The sequence below is a fragment of the Homo sapiens genome, chromosome 2 (genome assembly GCF_000001405.40).
Source record: "Homo sapiens chromosome 2, GRCh38.p14 Primary Assembly".
Lineage (NCBI taxonomy): Eukaryota > Metazoa > Chordata > Mammalia > Primates > Hominidae > Homo > Homo sapiens.
The window spans coordinates 47,810,122-47,831,756 of record NC_000002.12 but is presented as its reverse complement, the minus strand read 5'-3'; the positions used below and the strand labels follow the sequence as shown (position 1 = coordinate 47,831,756).

At 40.1% G+C, this 21,635-nt stretch overlaps 1 protein-coding gene across 11 annotated transcripts in view, besides 2 other annotated features; it reads left to right on the top strand.

Moving 5' to 3' along the window:
* The window catches only part of FBXO11 (F-box protein 11), a 99,579-nt gene that overhangs the window by 74,742 nt on the left and 3,202 nt on the right, over positions 1-21,635 (top strand). For all 11 annotated transcript variants that reach the window (XM_017005015.2, XM_005264573.6, NM_001190274.2 and 8 more), the window contains exons 12-19: positions 8,397-8,614; positions 9,454-9,539; positions 11,301-11,395; positions 12,679-12,801; positions 12,893-12,978; positions 17,890-17,966; positions 18,380-18,523; positions 21,331-21,441. In XM_017005015.2, coding sequence (XP_016860504.1) covers positions 8,397-8,614; positions 9,454-9,539; positions 11,301-11,395; positions 12,679-12,801; positions 12,893-12,978; positions 17,890-17,966; positions 18,380-18,523; positions 21,331-21,441 — 940 coding nt within the window. The remainder of the gene's footprint in view (positions 1-8,396; positions 8,615-9,453; positions 9,540-11,300; positions 11,396-12,678; positions 12,802-12,892; positions 12,979-17,889; positions 17,967-18,379; positions 18,524-21,330; positions 21,442-21,635) is intronic.
* Positions 15,647-15,696: an enhancer, noted in NCBI's record as "active region_15743". NCBI's record gives its function as "activates an Ori minimal core promoter by ATAC-STARR-seq in GM12878 lymphoblastoid cells {active_cell/tissue: GM12878}" and the evidence as "EXISTENCE:reporter gene assay evidence [ECO:0000049][PMID:35858748]".
* Positions 15,857-15,926: an enhancer, noted in NCBI's record as "active region_15742". NCBI's record gives its function as "activates an Ori minimal core promoter by ATAC-STARR-seq in GM12878 lymphoblastoid cells {active_cell/tissue: GM12878}" and the evidence as "EXISTENCE:reporter gene assay evidence [ECO:0000049][PMID:35858748]".

Here is a 21,635-nt window from a genome sequence, read left to right as displayed (position 1 = left end):
CCTTATAGTTTTACATAATTTTCTAGAGACATGACTTTTTGAGCTCTGAGATCACCATTTCAAAATAATGTTTTGAATGTCTTTTCAGATTTTTTTTCATTTAATGTCAAATTTTCCTTGAGGTAATTTTCAAGTCCTAATACAGCATTGGTAAAATTTTTTGTTGCGGAGTCCAAGATGGGAGAGAGGGTCACCACATTGTAGCAAATAGGATTATGGTGAGGTTTTGTTGCCTATTATACAATATTAAGCAATCCTGGGAATGTTGGATTCATCTATACAAAGAAATTTTTTTATTTTCATTTTTCTTTTTTTTTTTTTTTTTTTTTCTTTTTGAGACCGAGTTTCACCCTTGTTGCCCAGGCTAGAGTGCAATGGCAATGGTGTGATCTTGGCTCACTGCAACCTCCACCTCCTGGTTCAAGCGATTCTCATGTCTCAGCCTTCCAAGTAGCTGGGATTACAGGCATGCACCACCACGCCTGCCTAATTTTGTATTTTTAGTAGAAACAGGGTTTCACCATGTTGGTCAGGCTGGGCTTGAACTCCTGGCCTCAAGTGATTCACCTGCCTCGGCCTCCCAAAGTCCTGGGATTACAGGCATGAGCCACTGCGCCTGGCCAAGGCAGAGCTCTTTTTTTAAACTAAACTAGACCATGGCCGGGTGCAGTGGCTCACACCTGTAATCCCAGCACTTTGGGAGGCCAAGGCAGTTGGATCGCTTGGGCTCAGGAGTTCAAAACCAGCCTGGACAACATGGTGAAACTCTGTCTCTACAAAAAATACAAAAATTAGCTGGGCATGGTGGCTCACACCTGTAGTCCCAGCTACTTGGGGGCTGAGACAGGAGGATCACTTGAGCCCAGGAGACGGAGGTTGCAGTGAGCCAAGATGTAAGATGTGTGCCTTTGCATGGGATTTCAGGCGTGAGCCACCACACCTGGCCAAGTTCATCATTTTTGAAAGACCTCTGGTGATGGGATGGTCCCTTATTAAAGTTCACCATAGTAAGTTACTCCTCATCACACACACACTCCTTATACCATTTTAAAGAATAGATTTGGGCTTGTAAATATCACAGCATTTTTAAAAATAAGTCTAGACAATGCTATAGATAGATATTTCCATTAAGGATTAATGAGATTTATACATTTTAAGATTTATAAAGTATTTCAATCTATCTCCACCCCATCATTTTTATTTTTATTTTGCAAAGGTTTAAAATATTTGCATTCCTACAGTTATTGGTCTATATTTATTCTTTATTTATTTATCATTAGTTCTTTTATCATCGTTTCTCCATTCTTGAATTTAAATTTTGATTCATTCTTGGTATGGCTAGGTTTTGTCATCCAGCCATTTTTTGTTTGTTTTTTTTAAAGAACGCCTTATGGATATTGTAGCTTGAATTCTTGCCATGCGAGAATCCCTATCCATTGCCTTTTAACTTAGCTGAGTTTCTTTCTTTCCCTCACGATTCTGTAGACATTTTTCTATTGTAGCATTGAGCATGGCTGAGAACTCTGAGATCACATTGGGTTTTTTTCTTTCTTCTTTGCTTGAAAGATTGCTCTTCTACCTCAGTATCCATATTTTGGCTTTTGCTGATGTATTGTTTTACTATTTTTCTGTTCCATATGTTCCTTTCTTTAGAAACTTAGCTATCTTTCTGGTTATTTATATTGCTATGTTCTGTTCTGTTTAGTGTTGTGTGAGTTCCTCAAATCTGTGTTCCTTACCATGTCTCCGTGGTTTTGTTTTTCTGCTGCTATTTTGCTTCCAGTGTGGGTGTTGCCTTTAATTTTTACATTTTTTTAATGAAATATTTCTAACGTACACTGAAGTAGAGAGAATAGTGTAATGACTCTCCAGGTACCTATTGTCTGCCTTCAACAACTATCATTTCATGGCCAATTTTGTTTAATGTATACCTCATACGTTTTACTACCTTTTTTACACTCTGGATTATTTTGAAGTAAATACCAGACTTCATCATCTCTTGTAAATATTTTACCATGTGTCTTTAAAAGATGGGTGTTTTTTTTTTCTTTCACATAACCACAGTGCTAATCCACTCCTCAATAATTAGGAATAATTCCTTAATATCATCAAATTTTCTCTTAATGTTCACAGTTCTCCAATTGTCTTTTGTTTGTTTAATACTCAGTTCAGTGCAGAGTTGTTACTTTTGTAAAATAAGATTAAAATGTCATAGCAGGCCAGGTGTGGTGGCTCATGCCTATAATCCTAGCACTTTGGGAGGCCGAGCAGGCAGATCACCTGAGGTCAGGAATTCGAGAACAGCCTGGCCAACATGGTGAAACCCTGTCTCTACTAGAAATACATAAATTAGCCGGGTGTGTTGGTGCACGCCTCAAGTCCCAGCTACTCGAGAGGCTAAGGCAAGAGAATCGCTTGAATCCAGGAGGCAGAGGTTGCAGTGAGCCGAGATCGCGCCACTGCACTCCAGCCTGGGCGACAGAGCAAGACTCTGTCTCAAAAAATAAATAAATAAATAAATAAAATGTCATAGCAGTGCCAAATAACTATAAAATTTTTTGAGGCCGGGTGCAGTGGGTCACGCCTGTAATCCTAACACTTTGGGAGGACAAGGTAGGCAGATCCCTTGAGCCCAGGAGTTCAAGACCAGCCTGGCCAACACTGCGAAACACTGCCTCGTGGTGGCGTGTGCCTGTAATCCCAGCCTCTCAGGAGGTTGAGGCATGAGAATCACTTGAAGTGGGGAGGTGGGAGGTGGAGGTTGCAGTGACCCAAGATCATGCCACTGCACTCCAGCCTGGGCGACAGAGGAGTGAGACTCTGTCAAAAAAATAAAAAAATTCATGGCATATTCATGCCATTAGATTTCATCACTTTAGTTAGAAGATAATAATAAGCTAAGCTTATTATAGCCTTTAGTTACTTGGGGACAACTACACTTCATTGAAAGTCTAAGGTACTAACATTGGTTAGTTCCCAGCACCCTCCTCTTTCTTACCCAGATTTCACAGTATTTGGTAAGTGTTTTTATAGATTAGAGTTGTGGAAGTTTATTTCTATGAAGATAGCATTTTTCTCTCTTTTTTAATCTGGAGAGTTTCTTGTGAAACTCTTGAATGCCTTTTATTTTGTCTTTTTTTTTTTTTTGAGACAAGAGTCTCACTCTGTCACCCAGGCTGGAGTGCAGTGGTGCAATCGCGGCTCACTGCAACCTCCACCTTCCAGGCTTCAAGCAATTCTTGTGTCTCAGTCTCCCGAGTAGGTGGGAGTACAGATGCCTGCCAGCACGCACAGCTAACTTTTGTGTTTTTAGTACAGACAGGGTTTTACCATGTTGGCCAGGCTGGTCTAGAACTCCTGACTTCAAGAGCTCCACCGCGCCTGGCCTACTTTGTCATATTTAATAAAGAATGTTTTACTTCAAAAAATTTATACATGTTGGAACTTTTGTGGTTTGCATTAAAAGACAAAGCAGAGGCTGGGCACAGTGGCTCACACCTGTAATCCCAGCACTTCGGGAGGTTGAGGCAGGAGGACTGCATGAACCCAGGAGTTCAAGATCAACCTGAGCAAGACAGACCCTATCTCTACTAAAGAAATATTCTAAAAATTAGCTGGGCATGGTGGCACACGCCTATAATCCTAGCTACTTGGAAGGCTGAGGCAAGAGGATTGATTGAGCCCAGAAGTTCAAGGTTGTAATGACCTGTGATAGCTCCAGCTTGGGTGACAGGGAGATTCCCGTCTTCTTAAAAAATTTTTTTCAGCCGGGCTTGGTAGCTCTGTAATCGCAGCACTTTGGGAGGCTGAGGCAGGTGGATCACTTGAGGCCAGGAGTTCGAGACCAGCCTGGCTAACTTGGCAAAACCCCGTCTCTACTAAAAATACAATAATTAGCTGGGCATGGTGGCACCCACCTGTAATCCCAGCTACTTTGGAGGCTGAGGCACGAAAATTGCTTGAACCTGGGATTTGGAGGTTGCAATGAACCAAGATCATACCACTGCGCTCCAGCCTAGGAGACAGTGAAACTCCACCTCAAAAAAAAAAAAAAATCTAATTTCTTACAGTTCTGTATTATTGATTTATTTTGTACTAGAGGTATTGCTTAACAAAATAGTTGCATTCTATTAAAATACGTCTTGAAGCAGGCCGGGTTCAGTGGCTCATGCCTATAATCCCAGCACTTCGGGAAGCCGAGGCGAGCAGATCACTTGAGGTCAGGAGTTCCAGACCATCCTGGCCAACATAGTGAAACCCCATCTCTACTAAAAATACAAAAATTAGCTGGGCGTGGTGGCTCACACCAAAAGTCCCAGCTCCTCGGGAGGCTGAGGCAGGAGAATCACTTGAACCCAGGAGGTAGAGGTTGCAGTGAGCCGAAAGTGCGCCACTGCGCTCCAGCCTGGGCGACAGACACTCTGTCTCAAAAACAAAAACAAACAAACAAAAAAATCTTGAAGCAAAATTACATTAACTGAATCCATAATAAAAATAAGTTTTCTTGCAAAATTATAAAACTATAAGTCAATCAATCTTTGTCATTTCTAAAGGTAGTAAAATCATTGTTGTGCCAATGTAGAGGCTTCTCATTTTAAGGTCGTTGAGAAAAGAAAACTTTTTGCTGCTTTATTTTCTTGAAAGTTACTCTGAAACAAAAGATACAGATTATAAACTCCATATTTGATGGAATTAGGTGACATATTTAATCCTTAACCTAATTTATTAATACAATGTGGTAAATGACTGCATGCCTGTGACCAGGGCAGCCAACCAGATTGGAGCAGGTTAAAGCTCCAATAAAGCTGTTCAGAAAGATAAATTGGTAAACCTAATGTAAATGTAAATGTATTAAGAGGTGATTTATAGGAGATGATGCAGGAGAATCGCTTGAACTTGGGAGGCAGAGGTTGCAGTGAGCCAAGATTGGGCCACTGCACTCCATCCTGGGCAACAGAGTGAGACTCTGTGTCAAAAAAATAAATAAAAAGAAGAGGTGATTTGGACAACTAGCAACAAGTTTAGGATAGAGTTGTCACTAGAAAGCTAAGCAAAGGAGAAAAAAATCCAAAAAATTGTGCAGCAAAGAAGTCATATTTTATGGCTCAACTCTGAATAGCACACTAATCTAACCAAAATTAAGGTTAAACTACACTGAAAGGATACAATGTGTGAGTATATATTGTGGGGGATAGAGAGGTAGGAGAGCTAAATTCTGCTGTCCCATAATAGAAGTCAGTGGATAATACCTAAAACTGGAAAGTGAAGACTAAGTACAGTGAGTTACTTAATAAAATAGATGTGAATCAAAAGAATCAGCTAAAAGAATTAAAAGTGGGGCCCTCTGGATAAAGGAAATGAGGGAGAGGGCTGCTATTTGCCTTAAAAAACTTGTGGATCAGCTGGGCGCGGTGGCTCACACCTGTAATCCCAGCACTTTGGGAGGCCGAGGCGGGTGGATCACGAGGTTAGGAGATCGAGACCATCCTGGCTGACATGGTGAAACCCTGTCTCTACTAAAAATACAAAAAATTAGCTGGGCATGGTGGCGGCACCTGTAGTCCCAGCTACTCGGGAGGCTAAGGCAGGAGAATGGCGTGAACCCGGGACATGGAGGTTGCAGTGAGCCGAGATCGTGCCACTGCACTCAAGCCTGGGTGACAAAGTGAGACTCCGTCTCAAAAAAAACCAAAAAAACTTGTGGATGTACTTGAGTCTCTTAACTCTGTAAAATCAAAACCTAAAGAAAACAAAAAGATTATCCCTTGCATTTGAATACTGTTTAGTCAGTGTATATCAATTTTTTTTTACTGTATCACTGCATTCAGAGGTATCAAATTTTGCTTGCAGCGCTGTAAAAGTTTACCAGTCAGATTTGTCGGCCCGGCATGGTGGCTCACACCTGTAATCCCAGCACTTTGAGAGGCCAAGGCGGGAGGATTGCTTGAGGCTGAAAGTTTGAGACCAGCCTGGGCGACATGATGAAACTCCATCTCTACTAAAAACACAAAAATTGGCCAGGCTTGGTGCCATGCACCCGTGGTCTCAGCTACTTGGGAGGTTGAGTGGGGAGGATCGTTTGAGCCCAGGAGATTGAGGCTTCAGTGAGTGATTGCACCCTTGCACTCCAACCCAGACAACAGAGTGAGAGCCTGTCTCTAAAAAAAAAAAAAAAAAAAAAAAAAGAAGAAGAAGAAAAAATCCACCAGACATGTCATTCAACTCTTGGCAGAGAGAGACTAAGAGTTATACTAATTGTGCTCCCTCCTCATGGGTGAAAACATCTGAAATGGTGAATAATCTAGTATTAAGTTCTCTTTGTCTAGCCTCTTTTTGTTTTTTTGATGGTCAGTTTTGCCATAACAGTGTATTTATACACCCAGTGTGTATTCACTTTTATTCTGTATAAAATCAAAGAAAAAGTTTTATATTTGAAGACGCTATCTTTTATATAGCTCCTGATTTGTTTTAAAAAAGAATAAGGTTATAATCCAAATATAGAGATATAAGTTATAGATAATTTGTTCTTTATTAGAAAATGAAGTCTGAAAACTACTTTTGTATGTTATTCTTGGAGGCCTGTTTTCTTGAAGAGTTAAACATATAGTATACTAGAGTATTCAGAATATCCCCTTTTTAACCTCTACTAAATTTGGCAAAAAAAATTCATCAAATCCTGTTTGAGTACTTACTGTGTGTAAAGTCTTACATACATGCTCCAGAAGTTAGAATAGTCCAGACAGGAGCTTACAGTGGGGTAGAAATGGACATATATAAATATCGAAATAATATAAGGCAATACATGGAAGTAACATGAGAAAAATACTTAGTGCCGAAAGGATTTTAAAGAGGAAAGAGAGTAAGCACATTCCGTTTTTTCTTAATATTCAGTCTGCATTTAGTCTTTGGCCTAAGGATATCAGAATTATGGTAACTTCCATTATCATTATAAAAGTAAAACATGTCCATTATATAGGAAATTTAAGAAATTCAAAGTATGAAGAAACACATAATTATCCATAATTCCACCACTCATAATCATCTCACGTTTTTGTTCCATCCTTCAAGTTCCCTTTAAACAAAATTGAGATTATACATAATGTATACTACTTTAAAACTTGTTCTTTTCATTTAACATGTGTAGGATGAACCTAAGTCTTCAAAAACATTGTATTTAGCCAGTTCTCTATTAATGGGCTAAGGTGAACTTTTTAAAAAAATTGCTCTTATTTTAAGACTCTGATTGTGTTCTTTGGTCAACCTTTATTTATTTTTGAGACTCTGTTGTCCAGGCTGGAGTGCGATGGTGTGATTACGGCTCACTGCAACCTCAACCTCCCAGGCTCAAACAGTCCTCCCACCTCAGCCTCCCTAGTAACTAGGCTTATAGGCACATGTCACCACACCTGGCTAATTTTGTTTTTAACTTTTTCTGTAGAGACGACGTCTCACTGTTACCCAGGCTGGTCTCGAGCTCCAGGGCTCAAGCAGTCCTCCCTGCTCGGTCTTCCAAAGTGCTGGGAGGCCCAGCCACAACTTTTAGAAGCTGACTTGTTGGGACATTTTTAAGGCAGCCAGAGTTTATATTCTTAATGACTTTAACCTTTTGTTGAAGGATATGTGCTTACTAGTTAATGGTATTCGTCTACATTTATCGAATAGATGTTTTGCTGTTTTTCCTTCATGCCTTTGAATGTACTTGGACTTATTAGAGGATGTATATAGTTCTTTGTTTTGCTAAAACATTTAAGTCATTAGCCAGGCATGGTGGTGTGTGCCTTTCTATGGTCCTAGCTACTCAGAAGGCTGAGGCGGGAGGATTGTTTGAGGCTGCGTGAGCTATGATTGTGCCCCTGTACTCCAGCCTGGACAACAGAGTGAGACCTTGTCTGTTAAAAAAAAAAAAATTAAAACATTTAAATCTTTTTCTTTCCATGATCATTACTTGAAGCTTAGTATATATACCTACTTTTTATTCTTAAACTTTTTTTTTAATTTTTTTTGAGACGGAGTTTTGCTCTTGTCACCCAGGCTGGAGTGCAGTGGCGCAATCTCGGCTCACTGCAACCTCTGACTCCCGGGTTCAAGCAGTTCTCCTGCCTCAGCCTCCCAAGTACCTGGGATTACAGGTGTGAGCCACCACACCCAGCTAATTTTTGTATTTTTAGTAGAGACGGGGTTTCACCATGTTGGCCAGGCTGGTCTCCTCTTGACCTCAGGTGATCCACCTTCCTAGGGCTCCCAAAGTGCTGGGATTAACAGGCGTGAGTCACCACGCCCAGCCTTAAATGTTTCTAATACTTAATTTTTAGATATGCATTGAAATGTTTTTTAAATGGCATTTCTTTTTTTGTAAAGTAGGCTTTACCTACAGATTTAATTTCTGTATTTTTCAGGGTTACTTTGAAAGTTGCAATATACACAGAAATAGGATAGCAGGCTTTGAAGTAAAAGCCTATGCTAACCCTACAGTGGTTCGATGTGAAATTCACCATGGGCAGACTGGAGGAATATATGTCCATGAAAAAGGAAGAGGACAATTCATAGAGAATAAAATCTATGCAAACAACTTTGCAGGTGTATGGATTACCTCAAATAGTGACCCAACAATAAGGTATTTACATATAATTATGGGTGAAAATTACTTTTTCACTTCAAGGTTTGCTTAAAAGTCAAGATATTGAGCTTTAACTCTTGAAAGTTTTTGTTAGACATTTGACTACTATAAAATAGATTTTCCTAGTTAAAGTCTGTGCATCTGAATGAGCCATAGCTATTGCAGATTTATTTTTTGGTGTTTTTATTTTTCTTTTTATTAGTGATATAAACCATATGTGATATTATGAAAAATTGCAAATGCTGTGATTTTTATTTTAAATTCATCAAACTGCATTATAGATGAGTAAATAGGACTGTTACCTCCCCTTGGAGCTTGAAGGACTTTGTCTTCTTTTTTCTGAAGTTAGCAAATAGAATAATTCAGGAAAAATATCTCAAAGATTCTTGGCCAGAAAGACTAAAATTATCAAAAAGTCAAAAACTGCAAGCTGTCATTTTCCCTTAATAAGCCAAAATTGTAGAACCAAAGGTATTATAATCTAATCAGACACTATGAATTATTTTTAATTGTCAAATTTTATTTTCCATTGGCTTTATGGAAGTAGATTTTGGGATTTCCATCTTGTTAATAGTCATCAAATGTTTCTAGATCAGCTAAAAAATTGTTTTGAATGTATTAGCTGTTTTGAGGGGAATTTTTAAGAATGCTACATATGTTCTTTCAAATAGTAGTCTGACTTTTCCAAAGTCTTAGGCCTTAGAAATAATGAAGAAATTGAGGCCTTAGAAGTTTATGTAATTTGTTATATGACCATGAGGGGCCTTACCGTTGTATAAAACAAGTAAGTTTGGCTGAATAGATGTCTTCTTTTTTTTTATTTCGCATAATTATAGGGGAAATTCTATATTTAATGGAAATCAAGGAGGAGTTTACATCTTTGGTGATGGACGAGGCCTTATTGAAGGAAATGACATTTATGGTAAGCGTATGGTTTTGTTCTATAAAACTTATAGATTTGTATGTCTTCTTGATATTAGCAAAATGATGGAACATTTTGAAACTACCCAAGTGGAAGCACTGATCCAGCTCTTTAATTTTTTTCTTTTTTAAAGAAATGAGGTCTTACTCTCTTGTGCAGACTGGAGCACAGTGGCACAAACATGGCTCACAGCAGCCTCAGACTTCTGGGCTCAAAGCGATCTTCCTCCTTCAGCCTCCCTGGTAGCTAGAACTACAGGCATGTGCCACCGTGCCCCACTCATTTATTTGTGGAGGCTGGGTTTTGCCTTGTTGCCCAGGCTGGTCTTGAACTCCTGGCCTCAGGTGATCTTCCCGCCTTGGTCTCCCAAAATTCTGGGATTGCAGGTGTGAGTCTCATGCGCTGCCCTTTAATTTTTGTTGTTGTTGTTTTTGAGACAGAGTCTCACTCTGTTGCCTAGGCTGGAGTGCAGTGACACAATCTCACCTCACAGCAACCCCTGCCTCCCAGGTTCAAGCGATCCTCATGCCTCAGCCTCCAGAGTAGCTGGGATTACAGGTGCATGCTACCATGCCCGGCTCAATTTTGCTTTTTTTTTTTTTTCTTTTGAGACGGAGTCTCTCTCTATCACCCAGGCTGGAGTGCAGTGGCGCAATCTCGGCTCACTGCAAGCTCCACCTCCCAGGTTCACGCCATTCTCCTGCCGCAGCCTCCCAAGTAGCTGGGACTACAGGCGCCCGCCACCACGCCCGGCTAATTTTTTGTATTTTTAGTAGAGACGGGGTTTCACCATGTTAGCCAGGATGGTCTCGATCTCCTGACCTTGTGATCTGCCTGCCTCGGTCTCCCAAAGTGCTGGGATTACAGGTGTGAGCCACCGCGCCTGGCCATTTTTGCATTTTTAATAGAGACAGGTTTTGCCATGTTGGCCAGGCTGGTTTTGAACTCCTGGCCTCAAGTGAGCTGCCTGTTTCAGCCTCAGCCTCCCAGATTGCTGGGATTACAGGTATGAGCCACCACGCCTGGCCTAAATGCTTAATAAAGATTATTCTGTGGTATGTATTCACAGGCAGTATGCCAGATACCAGGGATGAAAATATAAATAAGACCTTAGTCCCAAGGAATATCTGCAGTTTCCATAGTTTCACTCTGTTTTTTAATAGTTAATTGTTTCTGTGGTAGTTTAATATACTTTGTGCTAATTAGAGAAAGAAAATATTTATTCCTCATTAAAGTTTTAGGAACATTAAATCAGCAAACAATCAGTAGATATCTGTGTGCCAGACACCAATATGTGCCTGGGCTTTCGCTTCTGGTAACTCTAACCTGGTTAATACTTACATAAAGCTTTACTAAGTATAGGCACTCTGCGGAGCATCTTAACCTGAGTTAAGTCATATAATACTCACATCAACACTGTGAGGTAGATACCATTAAATATTGATAAGGATACAGAGGCACAAAGATACTTACTGATCAGTATACAGAGGCACAAAGAGGTTAAATTACTTACTCAGGGTCACACAGGAAGTGGAATTCCTGGGATTCAAAATGTGGCAGCTCGGCTCCACAACTATAGCATAGCTATACTATACTGCCTGCAGCTCTCTGCATCTATTTACACTTCTAGTTCTCTTAATTTTGTCTTGTAATGGTCACTAAAATTCTAGTGTAAGAATTTTAACCACTACCTAATGTAAAATCCTTACTGTATTCTCTAGGCTCACAAATGTTGACCTTGTAACTTTTATTTTTAAATAGGCAATGCATTAGCAGGAATTCAAATTAGGACAAACAGTTGTCCAATTGTTCGGCATAACAAAATTCATGATGGCCAGCATGGTGGGATTTATGTGGTAAGTTAATGTATATAGTTCCCTATAAACTCATGCATCAAAACCAGGGGGATAAAGGGTTTCTCCTCAAGCTTTTAGGTAGGCCATATTCAACTTTTGAGGTATGAATTTGTGACTGTCTTTAATAGTTAGACAAAAATAACGTTCTTCTTCTCCCTGCCAGTATCTTAATGATTTCTGATTTTAAGTTTGTGTTTAATTATGTAAAATTTACTCAGCAGCTGACTAAATTTAGCCATAAGAGAAACACCTTTTTATTAAAGTCTTTATTATTGGCAATATGGGCTAGCCTCAGCAGCAGTTCATTTGCAGTCTATTATATTTGTTACACCAGAATTTTACGAGTATGACTACTGTATGAGTCACTGAAGTTCTGCCACTTTTTCATTTGAATTTATGTTAAAATATAATAACTTTCAAAATTTTGAAACCTGTGTATTAATCGTCTTCACTCATGGTATCTAAAATTTTGCAACTGATTCAAGTAAGAAAATGTAGGAAATTTCAAAAAGGTCCTTATGCAAGGCATTACTTTTAATTTTCATTTATGGTTCTAGAGATGCACATGTCCTCAGTTACCTGCTAAAAGTAAAAATTTTGGGAACATGAAGCCATATCATTTTGAATTGATTTCTCGAGAAATAGGTTTGAAGTAACTGTTAATTTATTACTAAATGAGAGGTCGTCAGTTTGTTACACATCCTAGGGTGAATTAATTTCTTTTGCTAAAGAAAATTGAATGCTACTACTACTATTACTGTGATATTAAAAGTATAAAACCACTTAAAGAACAGTATAAAATTTTTGAAAGCTTAAAACTCAGGTAGAGGCTACATAAAAAGAATGTTGGCCGGGCGCGGTGGCTCACACCTGTAATCCCAGCACTTTGGGAGGCCAACGCGGGTGGATCACGAGGTCAGGAGTTCAAGACCACCCTGGCCAAGATGGTGAAACGCCATCTCTACTAAAAATACAAAAATTAGCCAGGCGTGGTGGCAGACGCCTGTAATCCTAGCTACTTGGGAAGCTGAGGCAGAGAATTGCTTGAACATGGGAGGCGAAGGTTGTGGTGAGCCAAGATCGCGCCACTGTACTCCAGCCTGGGCGACAGAGCGAGACTCCATTTCAAAACAAAACAAAACAAAAGAATATTGCCATTACCTCCTTACTCGGATGAAAAAACAAAAATGGAAAATTTTTTAACTGTCTATAAAGGGGGTAACAGACTATAAACGCCTTGCTTATAGAAGATAAATATTATAACCAGTGTAACTTTCATTTAGCATGAAAAGGGACAAGGAGTAATAGAAGAGAATGAAGTTTATAGTAACACTCTAGCTGGAGTCTGGGTGACAACTGGCAGCACTCCAGTACTGAGAAGAAACCGGATACACAGTGGCAAGCAGGTAGGATTAGCCTGGACTCTTGGATGGGAAATACATTGTTTTGTAAATACTTGTCCCTTGAAAAAGCTTTTTTTTTTTTTTTAAATTTTAGGTTGGTGTTTATTTTTATGACAATGGACATGGAGTGCTAGAAGACAATGATATCTATAATCATATGTATTCAGGGGTTCAGATAAGGTAAATGTTTTCATATTTGGCTATCTTTTGGGAGGGAGTTAGGAGTATGTGGGGTGTGTAAAAGAAATTTGCTTATTGTTTAATGCCCAATCTTTATCCCCCTATTGTATATATATTCACATTCTTAAAATAATCTTGACTTAAATTGTCAGAATGTAGCTTTCCTTGGTCTAGGTGAGGACAGAAGCCACTGGCACATGTGCCATAAGAGCTCACTTCCACCGTTCTGCTTTCCACTATGAGAGTCACATCAGCTGCCAATATGATCCTTCATACTTGGAGAGTGGAAGTCTGTGTTAAAATACTTGTGCATTATGCCTGGCATATCATTGGCACTCAATAAAATGAAGCTTCTGTTTTATGCTATTTCTGTAAAATTAATAGTTTTTGATACCCCTCTAATATTTTAAGTTTTTGGAATTCTAGCAGTACTAATGATCATATACTGGCTTACCTCTGTTTATTACACTTTACAGTTCATTGTGCTTCACAGATACTGTGTTTTTTCACAAATTGAAGTTTTGTGGCAATACTGTGTTGAGCAGATCTCTCTGCCATTTTTTTCCAGCAGCATGTGCTCACTTCCTGTCTCTGTGTCTCATTTTTTCATTATCATTATGTCTGTTATGGTGATCTCTGATCAGTGATCCTTTTTGTTTGTTTGAGACGGAGTTTCACTCTTGTTGCCCAGGCTGGAGTGCAATGGCACGATCTCGGCTCACCGCAACCTCAGCCTCCCAAGTAGCTGGGATTACAGGCTTGTGCCACCATGCCTGGCTGACTTTGTATTTTTAGTAGAGATGGGGTTTCTCCATATTGGTCAGGCTGGTCTCAAACTCCTGACTTCAGGTGATCCACCCGCCTCAGCCTCCCAAAGTGCTGGGATCACAGGCGTGAGCCACCACACCCACCCTGATCAGTGATCTTTGATGTTACTATTGTAATTGTTTTGGGACACCATTAACTGCGCCCAAGATAACAAACTTCATCTGTAAACGTTGTGTGTGTTCTGACTGTTCCACCAAGCAGCCATTCCCATCTCTGTCCCTCTCCTCAGGCTTCCCTATTGCCTGAGACACAACAGTATCGAAATTAGGCCAATTAGTAATCCTCAAATGGCCTCTATAAGTATTGAAGTGAAAGGAGGAGTTGCGTATCTCTCACTTTAAATCAAAAGCTAGAAATGATGAAGGTTAGTGAGGAAAGTATGTCTAAAGGCTGAATAGCCCAAAAGCTAGGCCTCTTGTCCAGTTAGCTAAGTTGTGAATGCAAAGGAAAAGTCCTAGAAAGAAATTAAAAATGCTATTCCAGTAAACACATGAATGATAAAGCAAAGCAAAACAACCTTATTGCTTAGTTTCTCAGGGTTCAAAGCAAAATAAAATAATAACAAAAAAATGGACTTATGCTAATATGGAGAATGTTTTAGTGATGTGGATAGAAGAACAAACCAGCCGCAACATTCCCTTAAGCCAATTCCTAATCCAGAGCAAGGACCCAACTCTCTTCAGTTCTATGAAGGCTGAAAGAGGTGAAGAAGCTGCAGAAGAAAAGTTTGAAGCTAGCAGAGGTTGATTCATGAGGTTTAAGAAAAAAAGCTAAGTGCAAGGTGGAGCAGCAAATGCTGAGATAGAAGCTACAGAAAGTTATCCCAGAAGATATAGCTAAGATCATTGTTGAAGGTGGCTACACTAAACAGATTTCAGTGTAGACTCAATAGTTTTATATTGGAAGAAGATGCATCCAGAACATTCATAGCTAGAGGGGAGAAGTCAATGCCTGACTTCAAAGGGCAAGCTGATCTCTTGTTAAGGGTTAGTTAAGCTGATGACTTTAAGTTGCAGGCAGTGCTCATTTACCATTATGAAAACCCTAGGGCCCTTAAGAATTATGCTAAATCTACTCTGCCTGTGCGCTATAAAGGGAACAACAAATCATGGATGATAGCACATGAATTTACAGTACAGTTTACTGAATATGTTAAGTCCACTGAGACCTAGTGCTCAGAAAAAATATTTCAAAATATTACTGCTCATTGACAATGCACCCAGTAACCCAAGAATTCTGATGCAGATGCACAAGGAGATTGTTGTTTTCACGCCTGCTAATACAGCATCCATCCCACAGTCTGGATCAAGGAGTGATTTCAATTTTTAAGTCTTTGTATGTAAGAAATACTTTTTAGAAAGCAGTAGTTGCCATAGATAGTGATTCCTCTGATGGATCTGGGCAAAGTAAATTGAAAACCTCTGGAAAGGATTCACCATTCCAGATTTCATTAAGAACATTCATGATTCCTGGGAGGAGATCTGAAAAAGTGCTGTAATCCAAGCATTTTGGGAGGCTGAGGTGGAAGGATCTCCTGAGGCCAGGAGTTCAAGATCAGCCTGGGCAACATAGCAAAACCCTGTCTCTGTAAAAAATAGAAAAAATTAGCTAGGCATGGTGGCATGCGCCTGTGGTCCCAGCTACCCGGAAGGCTGAGGTGGGAGGATCGCTTGAGCCCAGGAAGTCGAGGCGGCACTGAGCTATGATTATACCACTGTGCTCCAGCCTGGATGACTGAGTGAGACCCTGTCTCAAAAAACAGAACAAAACAAAAAAAAATTGCAGTTATGCCCTGAGCCAAATGTTGAGCTTTTCTGCCCACAAAGTGCAAAATTGTAGTACTGGCAGAGGTGCAACCCAAGGGGTCGCCAGGGTTCTCACCGCCCTTGGCCATGGGGCAGGCTGATCTAGACAGCAGGGGGATGTTTTCAGGGCTGAAGGTTCCCCCTACCTAGTCGTGAACACATCGGGTGCTGGAGCACCTGTGTTCCCATGAGGCCAGCGTGGGCCATGCATGGCTTCAAAAGGCCCTCGAGGCTTGACTAAGTGCGCCAGTTTCATTCTGAACATGCTGCTCTAAAACACATCCCTGCTGAGCCACAGGAGGATCAGATATTGTGAGCTTCTGGCCCGTTGATGCTCAAGAGCTGGGGCATGCGGGGAAGACTCCAGAACTTCTAACTCTCGCTAACCTTACATCTGGGATTCTTACGCCCTCAGCTGAAGAACTCTATGAATTTCAGCTTTGAAGAGGTTCTTCTAACACTTGGCCAATTTCAACCAGGCTTTGCTAAAGTCCTCTGAAATTGGGGGTCTGAAAGCCAGTTACTTGGATCACAAGTTACCTGTGAAATCTGCAAGGACCTGCTGTCAGGGCTCATTAAACCCCGAAGTATGGCACCTTGGCATGCGGACTACTCTGACCCAGAGGAGACTGGAAGGCCTCAGAAGCCAGGTCTTTGTCCTTCCCTCCTGGTTCCTGCCTCCTTTTCTCCCCCAAATTGAGTCCCAGAAACCAGAATTCCTTTTCCTCAAAGCAGGTCTTAGAAACTAGAATTCCTTTCTCTCAAACCCAGCCATAAAACCTAGCTAGGTCACTCTCTCCCTTCTCCCTGGAAGATCCTCATTCCCGAGGGGGATACCCAGGGGAAGGGGAATTGTACAGAGCGGCTTTGCTGGGTTTCCCGACTCTGTCCATCACCGTTAGGCCAGATCCTTTGTGTCCAATCACATTTCTGCGTGGATGTTCATTCATCAAACCTAAATACAAAAATAAACGTTTTTATGGCCAGGACAAAAAAAAATTAACAGGAGTTTGGAAGAAGTTGCTTCCAACCCTCATGGATGACTTTAGGGGTATAAGACTTTGGTGGAGGAACTAATTCCAGACGTGGTAGAAATTGCAAGAGAAGTAGAATTAGAAAATGGAACATGAAGATGTGACTGAATTGCTGCAACCTCATGATAAAACTTGGACAGATGAGGAGTTGCTTCTTACGGATGAGCAAAGAGTGGTTTTTCTTGAGGTGGGGTCTGTTCCTGTTGAAGATGCTGTGAACATAGTTGAAATGAAGACAAAGGATTTAGAATATTACATAAGCCTGTTAATAAAGTAGTAGCAGGGTTGGCAAGGATTGACAACAATTTTGAAAGAAATTCTACTGTGAGCAAAATGCTATAACAACATTGCATGCTACAGAGAAATCTTCCGTGAAAGGAAGAGTCAGTCTATGTGGCAAACTTAATTGTCTTATTTTAAGAGATTGCCAGTTGGTCAGGTGCAGTAGATCATGCCTGTAATCCCAGCACTTTGGGAGACTGAGACAGGTGGATCACTTGAGCCCAGGAGTTTGAGAACAGCCTGGGCAACATGGCAAAACTCCATCTCTACAAAAAATACAAAAATTAACTGGGCATGGTGGTGTGCACCTGTAGTCCCAGCTACTCGGGAGGCTTAGGCAGGAGGATTGCTTGAGCCCAAGAGTTCGAGGCTGCAGTGAGCTATGATCATGCCACTGCAACTCCAGCCTGGGTGACAGAGCAAGACCCCATGTCTTTAAAAAAAAAAAAAAAAAAAGACTCCCTGAAGGCTTAGATTGTTATGAGCATTTTTTTAGCGATAAAGTATTTTTAAGTTAGGGTATGTGCTTTTTTTTATGAAATGCTATTGCATACTTAATAGACTACAGTATAATGTAAACCAAAAAATTGATGCGACTCTCTTTATTGCAATACTCGCTTTATTATGGTGGTCTGGAACGGAACCTGCAGTTATCTCCAAGGCATGCCTGTAATTCAGTCCTTCATTTTACATATGAGGGGAATATATGTCACTTAATATAACCCCATTTAGTTTACATGTTAGGAAACTCTACAATAATAATCTGTAGTAAAGTATGTTCTGTGGGAAATACAGGATTAAGCAAAATTAAACCACTTTCTTCTCAGGGCATCTTGGACTCCATTGTATAGTTAATTCTTACTAAGTGACTTATGTGGATTTCTCCACTGTTTACCTCACGTAACATGAAGATATGGGAGTAGAAGCTATTGAAATGGTATTATTGTCTATTCTGTTTACAGGACTGGAAGCAACCCCAAAATTAGACGCAACAAAATCTGGGGAGGACAGAATGGTGGAATTCTAGTTTATAATTCTGGTATGTTTAATCTGTCATCTTTTTTCTGTGTTAATAAACTTTAGAAATACACCTTCTAGGCCGGGCACGGTGGCTCACGCCTGTAATCCCAGCACTTTGGGAGGCCGAGATGGGTGGATCACCCGAGGTCAGGAGTTTAAGACCAGCCTGGCCAACATGGTGAAACCCTGTCTCTACTAAATATTACAAAAATTAGTTGGACATGGTGGCACACGCCTGTATTCCCAGCTACTTGGGAGGCTGAGGCAGGAGAATCACTTGAACCCGGGAGGTGGAGGTTGCAGTGAGCCAAGATCGCGCCACTGCACACTCCAGCCTGGCAACAGAGCGAGACTCTGTCTCAAAAAAAAAAAAAAAAAAAAAAATTAAAAAGAAATATACCTTCTAGATAACCTACATTTTTGCATTTATAGGTCTAGGCTGTATAGAAGACAATGAAATATTTGACAATGCAATGGCTGGAGTCTGGATTAAGACAGATAGTAATCCTACACTAAGAAGAAATAAAATCCATGATGGAAGAGATGGTGGCATCTGTATATTTAATGGGGGTCGAGGTATTGTTGTTAATTTTGCATTAGTGAAAAATCCAGTTTTCCATTATTCTTCCATATCTTTAATGATCAATGACATTGCTAACTAAGTTATAAATGAGTGAATCTCAAGTCTTTTTCCTTATCAAGTTGAACTGGTTTAGGAGATTAGTGCCTAGAGTTAAGAGACAAATGTTTACAATACTTTTCCTTTTGTAGCCACTTTGAGTCTGCAGTTGTCAGTAAGCCTTTTTAAAGATAGAATTTGTTTACATTCTCTGGACCTTTTAAAATTCAGAATAGTAATATGATTATAATAAACTTCAAAGTCAAGTTATAGAAATAGATGTGAGAAATTGATCTGTAAATATCTGAAAATGTCTTTAGTAAACGGGTATTGCTTTTGTAACTGTTTTCAACTGTGTTTGTTGGAGAGTGGAATTAATGAAGCCAAGATGTGCCTGGTTTGGTATTCATAAAGGTCAACTCACTTTGCATTGAGGCAAAAGTTCCATAGTGCCTGCCCCTTACAGATGCATGTATACAGAGATTCACAGAGCTGCCAAATGCAAATCTATCGCTGTTCCTGAAATGTCAATAACCCAACATTTGTACATATCTTACATAGAATAGCTAGTTATTACTCTAACATGCCAAGATTTAATGAACAAAATTTAATACCACAGCCAAGCAGTGATGATTCCATTGACAGACTCTCCAGGAGCTTATAATCTAGTAATTCAGTAAAGTGACGTATCTCAGATAGTTTTCACAAAATATAGTGAAGACACACAATACAGAATGGTTTATTTGCAAGGTGTTGAGAAATGGTTCACGCAAGTCAAATCACTTTTGAGCCGTGTTTTGAAAAATGAGTAGATATTTACTGGCAATTGGGTTTGGGAGAGGCGAACAGACCATTCCAGATGTTATTTCACTTTTATTCTTTAGATACTGATTTAACACCTCTGTACCAACTACTATGATACAGATGCTAGAGATATGCTAAATGAAACAGCACATCCATAAAATGTATAGTGTGATGGAGTGGAGCACATCGTAAACAAAAGTCTAGAGGAAACTGAAAGTAAGGGAAGAGGTACAGAAAATTGAGGCTACAGAAGGGGCAAGGCCCAAATCATGAGGTTTTCCATATGCAGTAAGGAGTTTGGAATCCATCTTAGCAATAGCACTTGAGGTGTAGTGGAAATAATCAAGATTAGAGACAGGGACTTGGAATAACTCAGGCAATAAATAATGAGAGCCTAAACTAAAATGATAGCATAAGGGTGTGAAAAGGTTGGGGGGGCAGGGGGTGGGACATGTTAATGATACTTAAAAGGACAGAACCAACTGGGCACAGTGGCTCACACCTGTACTTCCAGCTGCTCTGGAGGCTAAGGCAGGAGTATCACTTGAGTCTGGAGTTGGAAACCAGCCTAGGCAATGTAGTAAGACCGTATCTCTATAAAAAGGGTGGAACCAACAGGACTGGGTCATTGATTTAATATGGGGGTTGAAAGTAAAGTGAAATATGATGGGTGCTCAGGATTCTGATTTGGGTGGGTGACTACCTTTCACTGAGGTAAGTTATATAGGAAATGGTTTCTGGAAAACATTAGTAAGGTCAGTTTTTAAACACTGAATCCAAGGTTGTCTTCTGGAATATCCAAATTGGTTATGACCAGAATGTGATTCATTATACTAAGCTAAAGGAATAGATTAAAGAATTAGCAACAGTGGCCGGGTGCAGTGGCTCATGCCTGTAACCCCAGCACTTTGGGGGAGGCCCAGGTGGGTGGATCATTTGAGGTCAGGAGTTTGAGACCAGCCTGGCCAACATGGTGAAACCTAAAAATACAAAAATTAGCCAGGTGTGGTGGCAGGTGCTTGTAATCCCAGCTGCTTGGGAGGCTGAAGCAGGAGAATTGCTTGAACCCGGAGGCAGGGGTTGCAGTGAGCCAAGATCACACCATTGCACTCCAGCCTGGGTGGCAGAGTGAGACTCTGTCTCAAAAATTAAAAAGCAACAGTGTATATGCAATAGTTGCAAGATGTAAGATCACCCAAAGAGTATGCAGAGGGAAATGAGGGACAGAACCCAGAAATATTAATACCCAGGGAGTGAACAGGAGGAGGACCCCAAGAAGTTACTGAGTCAGATTTTTCCCACTCATCCAGGTGAAAGTTTAGGTCAATAATGTGAAATACCAGAGGGATTAAATGTCTACAGAAATAAAACCATGTCTCACATTAAGACAAACAAGTAGGTTGGAGGGATATTTTGAAAGGCAAGGTGATATTAAACTTTATTCTGAAAGTAGTTTGTTAGAGAAAGAGGCATGATAAGAGTTGCAGTTAACTGATTGGAAACTATGCAGCAGATGAAACTGGAATAAAGGAAACTCATCAGGAAATGATTATAGTAATAAGGGCCAGAAATAAGGGCTTGCTTGCCTGAACTAAAAACAAAGAGGATACAAAGGTTCTAGAAATATTTCAAAGGAATTAGCTTTAATTCAGCAATACTCATTGAGAATCACCTATGCACCTGGCTCTGAAGATGAAGTGCTGAGTAAACTTAGACATGGACCCTGCTATCATGGAGATGGCAGATTATTGGTCAGAATGCTCTTACCTGTCATTGTAGCAATTTTGTTAGATCCTTAATACCTCTGAATTGCTAATAAACTTGTTTTGGCTGAAAAAATAGTCCTGTGAATTTTACCATGCAGTTAAATAAGAAACTAAAAGCAAACCTAAATACCACCAAAAAGGTTAGTAGTCTGTTATATGCATTAGCCTTAATCTAAGGAAATATTTTATTATAGGTCTCCTTGAAGAAAATGATATTTTCAGGAATGCTCAAGCAGGTGTTCTCATCAGCACTAATAGTCATCCAATCTTAAGGAAAAACAGAATATTTGATGGATTTGCCGCAGGTTTGTATTTTCTTTTCTTACCTGTGGCTTATATATAGTTCTGCAAAGTGTTTGATGTGGAGTATATTCATTTTGTTTTGCTTATTAACTAAAATGTGCAAAGTGTGCTGAAGTGGCTGAATGCCTGTTCATTCACTTACAAGAGCACCTAATCAAGTTCTGGATTCTTCTACTCTAAGCCAGACTCCTAAGAA